General features: G+C 40.0%; 1 annotated feature.

Moving 5' to 3' along the window:
• Window positions 9256-10455: an enhancer, noted in NCBI's record as "BRD4-independent group 4 enhancer chr17:69841665-69842864 (GRCh37/hg19 assembly coordinates)". NCBI's record gives its function as "activates an origin of replication core promoter dependent on BRD2, P300/CBP, MED14 and CDK7 cofactors, and independent of BRD4, by STARR-seq in HCT116 cells {active_cell/tissue: HCT116}" and the evidence as "EXISTENCE:reporter gene assay evidence [ECO:0000049][PMID:35650434]".

Below are 11565 nucleotides of genomic sequence, written 5' to 3' on the forward strand. Positions count from 1 at the left end.
GTAGGCAGTGTCGACATCTGGGCTAGAGGCAGGAATATATAAGAAATCACAACTTGCTAATTGATTATCTGAATAAGATACAAAGGGGTTGTGAATAGATGTCACCATTTCCTTATAAATTCTACTGACAATGAAATAATAGAAGATGAACCTTCACTTAGCCCACTATGCTTCCTAAAATCATGGCTACACGATCTCAGGTACAGGTAGAGAGCCCTGCTGCTGTTTCCACTCCCTACCCTGATCTTTAAATGAGGTCCTTGTACACAAGCCCATGAGTCTTAGGTCGCCCAGGTGGTTATGGACACTTGACTCAGGACAAAGAAGCCTTGAAGAGTCTGGAGAGTATCTGACATCATAATGAATTGCAAATATAAAGAATATAATATGAATGAAAAAAGTAACTGGGCTAAACCTCTAGGTGTCTTAGAATTTGAATCTTGACCAAGGAATCAAAATCATTAGGGCAAGATGGCATGATTGATAGGCTCTAAGATAGTATGCTGTGTATTCTAGGAGGACTATAAAGAAGTCGAATACCTAACTCAAGAAGGGGTGGGTGCAGGGATTTGGTAATAGTGGGTAAGGTTTGAGGTAAGTCCCAATAGGAGACATTTGAGGTACGTTTGGATATAAGTAGAAACTGGCCTTAGTATTTTTGGCAGTGACAATAGCCTGATGATTTGGGGTGACCACAGATAACTCAACCTGTCTTTAGGGAAGCACATGTGATGGGAAGGTAGAGGAAGAGAGATTCAGAGGCAAGAGTATAAAGGTCTTGCATGACAGGACAAGGGATCTGGACCAGAGGAGACACCCAAGAAAATTTTAAACAGGAAAATAGGATGATCAGATTTGTGTGTTAAGATGGTTAACTGTGGCCACAAGACAGAGAATGGAATCACATGCAAATCAGAAACATGACAAATTGCCTGAGGTCACAGAATTAATTATTGTATTAATCAGTTTTCACGCTGCTGATAAAGACATACCTGAGACTGGGTAATTTATAAAGAAAAAGAGTTTAATGAACTCCCATTTCCACATGTCCTTGGAGGCCTCACAATCATGGAAGAAGGCAAAAGGCACATCTTACATGTTGGCAGGCAAGAGACAATGAGAACCAAGTGAAAGGGGTTTCCATCAGATCTCATGAGACTTATTCGCTACCACAAGAACAGTATGGAGAAAACTGCCCCCACGATTCAATTATCTCCCACAAGTTCCCTCCCAAAACACATGGGAATTACGGCAGCTACAATTCAAGAAGAGATTTGGGTGGGGACACAGCCAAACCATATCAATTACAGAAAAACAACTATAAACAAACAGGCCAAACAGATTGGAAAAAGGACTCTGATACCTTTTCCAGCATGTTCCCCTTGACAAATTTTGTTCTCTGATCTCCAGTACCTGGTCATAACAGAAGACCTTCAAGGAGAAGAGGATAGTGCTGACTCACTCTCTCAAACACCCACTCTTGATAATTTCTCTAAATGGGCAAATACATTTGCTAAGAGCCACCCTTCTTTTATCCTCCTCATAGCATTTGATTGACGACAAAGTGACTTGGGAACAAAATAAAGAAGCAATCTGCCTACAGATCATACCTAGTCCCAATGCCTTATAAACACCAGCAAAAGTTACTAAGAAAAATTAGAGAACTGTTAAAAAAAAGAATTTTAACATTAGTCAACATTTTATCATTATTTATTCCCTTCATGAAATGTGCTTCTTTGCTTACCACCTGAATTGAGAATAGAGGGTATCAAAACCTTGTTTCTACTAAAAATACAGAAATTAGCTGGGCATGGTGGCACATAACTGTAGTCCCAGCTACATGGGAGGCTGAGACACAAGAATCGTTTGAACCTGGGAGGTGGAAGTTGCAGTGAGCTGAGATCGCACCACTGCACTCCAGCCTGGCGAGAGAGCAAGACTCTGTTTCAAAAAAAGAAAAAGAAAAAGAAAAAAGAATTTAGAATACATCTACCATTTCTCCATTCTTGACACATTTTATCTCACATAATCTTTAAAATATTGGTAAGGTGGGTGATTTGATTCATTCCTCTCCATTCCCTTCATTTCACCAAGTCAGACTGGCTTGACAGGTATTGGGGAGAGAGAAATGGTAGCTAGACAGAAGCACTCTATCACAATAGCAGGGGAGTCAGGAAGTGCCTATGGAAACAGAAACCTTAAAGTCTGCAGGAAAGGAAGGACGAATCTAAACCTCCAGGTTTTCATCATTAGCCCCCATCCTCTCCATGTAAACACAACAAAAGAAAAAAATGAGACACAAAGCACAGGTTAGAAAACTGTTATATTTGTATTGATCTGTGACATAACATCTAAGTAAGAACAGTACCATCACTAGCTTTAAGAAAATTTCCCTAGTTGCTCCACCTCTACTAGGTCAGTGCCTGTGAACTTCTTGGAAATCAACACCAGGCTTTTGATAAGAAGCCAAGGTAAGAATCAGAAAGGTGACATGAGTCCCAAGAAGGTCTCAATCCTGCCAGTCAGGAGAGAAGGGGTTACGAAAGTTAGCATATCCTTGACTTGAGCCCTCTGTAGCCTACTCATGGAACTTTGTGCATGGCTGGGCTGCCCTGGCTTGAAGAAAACAGAAACAGCACAGAAAATAGATCTTTTTATTCCCGTTATACAGAATGCTCAGAGCCACATGGCTACTAAGTGGCAGAATTAACATTCCACTCAGATCTACTTGGCTCCACATTCCACACTGTCTTCAGTTTGCCACACTGCATCCAGCTCAACCAAGGTAAAGTATGGTGACTAATTGTCTAAAAGACAGAATTGGAAAGAGCACATCGTTTCCTGGGCAAGATACTGAAGACTCTTATTGTTATTATTTTTCATGTATGTAATTGAGCTATAAAGGAACATTCCACCAGCTAGCCCAAGAAGTCACCGTGGTACGTCAGCCATTTTTTCCATCTTCCTTCATCTCTCTCAGTTCAGAGAAGTGGAAGTTCTCCCAGGGAGGCTTGATCTGCCTGGTCAGCATGGCCAGGATGCCCCCCAGGGAGGAGCTAGCATGCCCAAAGATCACACTACTTTCTCCCCCTTCACTCACCCTGTGGGTCCTCCAATCCCTTTGTCAGACTTGATGCAGCCTGAGGGTTTCAAATGAGGTATAGGAGGAAGGAAGGTACATTATTTAGAAAATGGGTGGTAGGCTGGGCACAGTGGCTCACACCTGTAATCCCAGTGCTTTGGAAGGCCGAGGCAGGTGGATCACTTGAGGCCAGGAGTTCAAGACCAGCCTGGCCAACATTGTGAAACCCTGTCTCTAGTAAAAATACAAAAGTTAGCCAGGCATGATGGCACACACCTGTAATCCCAGCTACTCAGGAGGCTGAGGCAGGAGAATGGCTGGAACCCAGGAGGCAGAGGTTGCGGTGAGCCGAGATCATGCCACTGCACTCCAGCCTGGGTGACAAAGGGAGACTCTGTCTCAAAAAAAACAAAAAACAAAACAAAACAAAACAAAACAAAACAAAACAAATGAGAACCAGAGTAAAAATTGATTCTGACCAGAAGGCAACTCCTCCAAATACAGTGGATTCCAAAAGAGGAGGAACAACTGGGAAGTCAAACAAGTGTAGGCAGACCCACAGGTCATGAAAAAATTCTACATATAAGAGAGGTTTGAGACTATCCAGGATTTTCTGTTACTATTCAATTGTGACTTACCCAGAGACCCGGATGAGGCTGAGAATCTAAGATTATTTTCACTCCTGTCCAAACCTTTGTTTCTCCTAGACTCTACCATGTCCAGGAGACATGGGAGCATGAACTAATCGATATGAAATTACTTATGATAATAGTTTCCAGAGTGATTACATTGCTTTTGGATTCTAAACACAGGTTTTGTTTCTAAAAGAAAACTATATTATTGTTTGTTTCTAATAGTTGTGTGTGTGTGTGTGTGTGTGTGTGTGTGTGTTTTAACACTTCTCTGGAGTTTTTTACATGGAAAGCGGCAGTAGCAATATTGTTTTTCCTAACTACAAAACATCCAAAGGTCCATTTAGCAACTTATTGTGTATATATTTAGCCATAGTCCTATAGTTCCTACATTTCAGGGTGAAAAGCAGAATGTATTCAATTGCATACAATAGTGATATTTTCTTCAATTATCTTTTAAACCAATTGCTAACTATTTTTTAACATTACAATGTACGTATTCTCTATGTAAGATATTTAGAAAATACAAAAAATAAATACAATTATTAAAGTTGTATAAGCACTGCTAAGAAATTGGTTTATTTGTCTTCTTCCCATCTATTTCTTTCTCTCTTCTCTCTGTATATACACACATGCATATATATAAATATACATGCATATGTATTTTGTATGCTATTTTTTGATTAAAATACCATGGTTATCATTATTTTTCCAGCTGACAAAAATCCATTGTACAATCTCACATAAGTGAGCAATTTGCACATACACCGCTGTCTGCCTCTTTTATGGATTCTTTATTACAGGCTCCTAGATATGGATGGCAGAGTTACAGAACATTTAAGAATACTAGTACCTACTGTCAAAGTGCACAAATTTACACTCTGAAATAACTGATTTCATGGCATCCTTGCCAGCACTGAACATTATTTTTAATCTTATTTTAAAAGAAGTAAATATTCTAATTTGTATTTATTTACAAATATTTCCCCCTGTATTCACTCACAATTTGCATCTAGGGTAATTACTCCTGTTTCAAGACAGAATGAATTCGATATGACATGAACTGACTACAACACCATAAATGAGGTGGCTTCTCTGAGTATTTTCCATGCTCAGGTCTGATTATTGATTTGGTGAGCCTTGCTGAGACCAAGGCTGAGCCTCTCAATGCACATTCTCTCCACGACGTAGGAAAGTATCATGAGGAGAAGGCATCATTACGTCCACATGGGACAACCAGCTTCCTTCTGTCCTGTGGCCTCAGTCATTTTAACCCTCACCATCTGTTCTGCTGATGAGTGGCTCTGGGGTGCTGAAGAGGAGAGTTTGTAGATGATTAAATCACTCATTCGTTTTCTTTTTAATTTCAAATGTCCTGCCCCTATACAGGTAAGACTTGGCATATGCTTGTTTAGTGACTGAATAACTTTGACTCTGTCCCCTAAACACAGGGTCTAGTAACAGAAATATTCATATAACCCAAAATACCTAGTAAGTAGGGCTAGAATAGATTTGCATGCATGCCAGAGAAGGGTGTGTGGCTCTCTCCATGGAGGGTGATACATAACAGATAAGGTAATAATCCAGCTAAACTGTAATGCAGGAGAAGAGTACTGGCTTTGAAGATATGGCTGGGAAGCAGCTGCCAGGCACAGATACAGAATGTGCACGGATCATGGTGTGTTAGACAAGGCCTGTGCTGTTTGGGATGAAAACAGCATAAAGCATAGAGTCCAAGAATGGAGGCAAGTGAGACTAGAAAGAAACAGGAAGAAAAGATAATAAGGGGGCTCACTCTTCTCATGGGGGAATCTACATTTCTCTCGAAGTGCCTAAAAGATTTGAGCAACAGAATTGCTTACTCTGGCACCACCCCATAGGAAGGATAAGAGGGAAAAGTGATTTGAATATGGGAGTCAGATATACCTAAGTTCTAGGTAAAGCTGTGTCTATTAACAAATAGGCAAATCAATAAAATAATGAATAAATAAAAGAAACTTGTAATAGATGGGTGAGTGAGAAAAGGCCTAGGACAGGAGTAGGTGGGTAGATAAAGAATACAGTTTTAGACTTTACAGTCACCTATATGTAATAGGGAACGCTAACTTACTAGTGTTCTACTAGCCTAACTTATCAGTACAACCTGAAGCAAGACCAATATATTCAAGCTAGTAAGAATGATGATAGCTAATAATGAGAAAAATCTAAGTTACTCACATGTTTACAGTGCTTAGATAGGGAGAGTGAGATTTCAATAATTTTTGTTTTTTCTTTCCTTTTTTTTTTTTGCCTACTTATGTGTATTTTTAATAATTCTGTAGGCCGGGTGTGGTGGCTCACACCTATAATCCCAGCACTTCGGGAGGCTGAGGCGTGTGGATCACCAGAGGTAAAGAGTTTAAGACCAGCCTGGGCAACATGGTGAAACCCAGTCTCTACTAAAAATATAAAATTTAGCTGAGCGTGGTGGCATGTGCCTGTAATTCCAGCTATTTGGGAGGCTGAGGCAGGAGAATCACTTGAACCCAGGAGGTGGAGGTTGCAGTGAGCCAAGATTGTGCCATTGCACTCCAGCCTGGGTGACAGAGTGAGACTCCATCTCAAAAAAAATTAAAAAAAAAAAAATCTGTAATGATGTGTGTTATGGAAAATGTAAGTTTTGTATAACTAAAAATAAAGGGAAATATAATAATGGCTACCATTTTTAGTATTTACCTGTAAGTTTTAAACTATATTCAGGGTTTTACATTTGTCACTAATACTCATAACAGTCCTATGAGATACTTTTTACCCTCAAAGAAATTAAAGAATTTATCTAAGCACATAGACAAATGTAGTAGATTAAAAAGCAACCTAATTCTCCGTTCCTCCCTATTTCTACACCCTTTACAATGTGACTTTGCAGCTCCTGCTGAAATAATTTATCAAGAGACTCCAGTATCCTGGGTTCCCATGTTAGCAAAGTGACACTCAACTTAGCATAAATGATAAAATGAAATTAAGTTTAACCAAGCACAACTGTTAAATAACCTTTAACTAGGGACTTTCCACTAGAATGATCCAAATAAGACTACTGCTTCACTTTAACCAATCAAATATTTTCTTTGCCTTGCTTCTGCATTCACCCTCTAAAAGTCTTCCCCAGGTGCCGCTTTGGCACAGCCCTGACCTGCTTGATGTCTAGAGCTGCCCAATTCATGAATCACTGTCTGTTCAAATAAATTCTTTAATGTTTTAATGTGCCGACGTTTAACTTTTAAAAATCCACCAGGAAGTTGAGCCTATTTCCCCATCCCTCAAATCTGAGCTAGTCTCATGACTTTCTTTGGCCAAAAGAATGTGGCCAAAGAAAATAACAGCTCAGAGCTTGAGATTTGAGATCCTCTGCACACCTCTACTCTCTCTTTGCAGCTCTTCTGCTAACAAGTCAACAAAGTCAGGATGATGAGACAAAGTGGCCCAGCCACATCCATCACTCAGGCCATAGCCAGCCAATCATTAGATATCAGCCATGGGAGTGAGGCCAACCTAGATCACCAGCCTGACCCTGGTTGAGAATAGACCCCTGAGCAAACCCAGCCAAGATCAGTTGAACTGGCCCAAATCAGGACTATCAACTGACCCACAGATATTGTTTTAAGCCACTTGGGTTGGGGTAGTTTTTTATATGCCAGTAGCTAACTCGATACAATAGACAGTGGAAGAGCCAAGATTTGAACCCATGTCTAAGTTCACTCCTGTGTCTCTAGAGTTTCTTCTGTTTCCATTATGCAGTTAGTAATAGGCCATAGGCTTTACAAACCACAGGCAAATTCTTTTTCCCTCTCTCCCCTCCTGCAAGTGTCTTATTTAAAATTATTTATTATTTACTTATTTATTTATTTATTTTGAGATGAAGTCTCACTTTTGTCACCCAGGTTGGAGTGCAATGGCATGATCTTGACTCACTGCAACCTCTGCCTCCCAGGTTCAAGTGATTCTCCTCCCTCAGCCTCCCGAGTAGCTGGGATTACAGGCACCTGCCACTATGCCTGGCTAATTTTTTTATTTTTAGGAGAGACAGCGTTTCATCATGTTGGCCAGGCTGGTCTCAAACTCCTGACCTCAGGCGATCTGCCTGCCTCGGCCTCCCAAAGTACTGGGATTACAGGTATGAGCCACCACACCTGGCCCTGCAAGTGCTTTTATTTAAAAAGTTATGCCTGGTTTTCATTTTACCTCCCCTCAAGATCTAATTTGTGTTATATTTAAATCTGCAGGCTCCTTCAGGGCTGTCTAGTGTTGTTTTGTTTTTGAGTAGTTTGTCAATATAATTAAGTTCCTGGAGCGTAGGGTGCCCATGCCATAGTTCACTAATAAAATTAAAATGAACCTAAGAATATATTTTATTGTATGTGGCCTTCACATATATCTCATTTTATATTCATAAACCTATGGGTTTTTTTAAAAAAGTATTATTGTACAAATTTTACAGGTAAAACAACAAAACAAAATGAAAATAAAGACTAAGATAGAAGTAGGCTACGTGTCTGGTATAGAGTAGTGAATCAGACACCCTGCCTGCAAGTTCCATCTGCCCTCATCACCAGATCATGAAATCTAGATTCTGACCCAGAATTATTTAGTCCAGCTGTGAGTCTTAAGAAGCCATTTCACAGCCTAGCTTTCTGGTTAGAAATAACAATTCATTTCCTATTGCATTTCAAACATTGCTGGTTTAACCGAGGTTCTTCATTGTCCCCAGAAAGAGTAAAAACACTATAAGCCCCCTAAAGAGTGTAACCTTCATGAGGGCAAGACCCTTGTCTATTCTCTTTGCCATTGGATCCCTAGTGCACATACAAGGCACATAATGTATAATAAGCAACTGAAGGTATTGAGAATCTATGTACTAAGCTCTTAAAAATACTCATTGAAAACACACAATCTCATTTCTTGCAAATCTTCTCATTTTTCAGATGAAGCATTAAGATTCAAGATTTTACATATCGTTCCTAAAGTAACTCAGGGAATAAGTGGCAGGGTCTAGTTTTGAACCCAGGATTGCTGAGGTCAAAGTGAGTGTACTTTTTCTAATTGCCCTTCCATCTTCCCAAAGTAACAAATATGCTTGCCTGCCAGATAAGGATTGGATTTCCATATAAGTAGCCCCAGGGTGCTATCTCCACCAATAATTAAGAACAAAGAATCAGGCTTCAGCTAAAGCAGGATAAGCAGATTAGACATTAATTTAAAAGGTACCTTCAGATTGTTAAATTTTTGAACCACCAGACTGTGTTACAAATTAAAATGGGATTTTCTGATTTATGGTTTGATTCTATAGGGAAACAATTCTAAAGGCAACATCACCTATGTAATTGCACCAAGAATGCTGTGATTATTTCACATAGTGCCATAGCATGACTGTAGGGGCCAGATCATTCCCATTTTGCCTCCTGATTTGCTCTTCATCCAGGTCTTTCCTAACATAGCGTGAACACAAAGGTCAATTTCCTGCAGTCAATTTGAAAAAGGCCAACTCTCAATTAAGTTTGCAAAAGGGGTCAGAGGTGATGTGGAGAAATAAAATCCATGGGTAATGCAAAACACCCATATGAGCTCTGTGCTCTAATAGCCACTACTTCCCAACATGAACCAAAGCGGCTAACCAGTAGTAACTCAGATGGATTTGCAATCTGTTGCTCAAATTGCATCATTTCTGCTATCCATCTCAAATGAACAAATCAATAAGGGGAAAAGATGCAAGGAGAACAACTGGAAAGATAAGGAAAATGCAGAGAAAGGGATACCAGTATAACATCCAAGCTGAGTTTTATTATTAAAGTCATCACTATTTAGATTTTAGTAAATATTTTCCTCCAACTTCCAATAAACATGCACATTTCCCATTAATCTTTAATTGTCCTCCCATCCCCGAGGATGAACCAGCATTTCTATGCCACGCAGAAGACTCTGCTGACTATCGAAAGGCCATCCTACCTTCTCACACTGCAGAGTAGTCTCCTAAATCCAAACCAGACAGGGTCTTTCCGTGGAGAGGCTCACTGTGGTCTACCATAATTAAGCCCCAATACTAACTGAACCACTAACTGTTGACATGGGGCATAACCAGAGCCCTTCCACTATGCCACCCTCTCTAGGGAATGGTTCATTCAACCTTCTGGAGTAAGGGACATAAAGTGTGGGGCAGAAAGAGAGTGGGGAATCAGTAAAAGGCACTGTTCCACTTTTGATACAAATCCCTGTAATCAAAACCATACTTGGCCAGCTCAGTCTTACCTCCAAACTCCCTCTGAGATGCTATAAACATTGGCAGACAATGCATATAATTAAGGTGGAATATGTACTCATAAAATGTTTGTTTCCATCTGCTAGTTGTTTTAGCGAATGTTAGATTTCTTGCGGTCAGTCGGAGAACAACAGAGGGGATTCTGAAATCCCCACTGAGAAGCAGCTCATGAGCATGGCACAGGGACATGCCAGAACGTGCAGCCCTGGGAAGCAAAGAAAGACGGAGGTGAGAGTCTGTTTTCTAGCCTTAATTGTCCAGAAGCAGCCTGGGTGCCATAGCGACATAATCAAGTTCTCCCCTTTTGACTGTAAAGAAACACGGAGAGACTGTGCGTATTGTTGTCTTTCAATACCAAAGGGAGAAGTGGGTGAAAGAAAGTAAGAGTGTTCTGGCACCAGAATAATTTCTCCATTACCTCAATTAGTTCCAATGATGTGGAAAAGTTCTGTCTGGAGAAATCAAACTGAACATAAAATCACTGAAGCGCCGGTGGTGGCGGCGGTAGGTGTTGATACAGGCATTAGTCAGCAATACTGATTGCAGTGAAGTCACTCAATAGCCCTGTCGCTGGAACCTAGGCAGGGAAATAAACTCATTAGATCACCCCCTTCAGTGAAGCATGTGGTTTTCAATGTGGCACCAACATAATCTGGCACCCACCAAAAGATTCAGCCATCTGCCCCTGGAAGGCACAATTTACTAAGGTGTCTGGTAAAGAAATCTGGATAAGTACCATTTTTTATTTTCTAAAGAAACATAAATATGTCTTCTTGCCTAAGAGCCACTTTTGCCGTTAGTTATGAGATGTTAGATTTTCTTTAAGGAGGTAGGTAGTTCTGTGTGGCTATAGAGTACAGAATTGAGATAACTAAAAAGTATACACTATCAGAGAAACTTGAGTTCAGCATACGGAAATTTTTCTGATACTTCTGGCAGGCCATAAACAGAATGGCACCCACATGAGATAGATGTTTAAACCTCCCATTGGGTGTCAATGGAAAGCTAGGTCCTAACTTGCCATGGATAGTACAGGAAGATTTTTTCATTAGATAGGTCATTGAATAGTTGAGAAATCCCTTTCTCTAGTCAAGATCCAGTTAGCAGAAGGAGTTGAGAGAAGAAAAGAAAACATAGATTTCTTTTCCTCCCATGTTAATATCCACATATCCTGTGCCCATCTTCTTTATGGAGTCATTGAAAAAAACTCTATAGACTCTCAAAATGTTCTCTCATCTCAAGTTATATATTAATATACTATGTAATCCTTTATGCTTGAAGTAATTTGTAAAAATGGAAAAGCTCTGTGATGAGTTGACCAACCTCCTCAGTAGTACATCTATCTCTCCCAGTTTTTCCACAACCTTCTTTAAACACTTATTCTGATAAAAGGCTGCCAAAGACAGCATGTGGATGGATGGATGGATAGATTGATGGATGGATGGATAGATAGATAGATAGATAGATAGATAGATAGATAGATAGCATGTGTTATCCATTCCCTGTGTGGTCAATGACCCATTGCATATTCCCAACAAAACCACTCTATGGTATTATACCCA

This window comes from Homo sapiens, chromosome 17, assembly GCF_000001405.40.
Source record: "Homo sapiens chromosome 17, GRCh38.p14 Primary Assembly".
Lineage (NCBI taxonomy): Eukaryota > Metazoa > Chordata > Mammalia > Primates > Hominidae > Homo > Homo sapiens.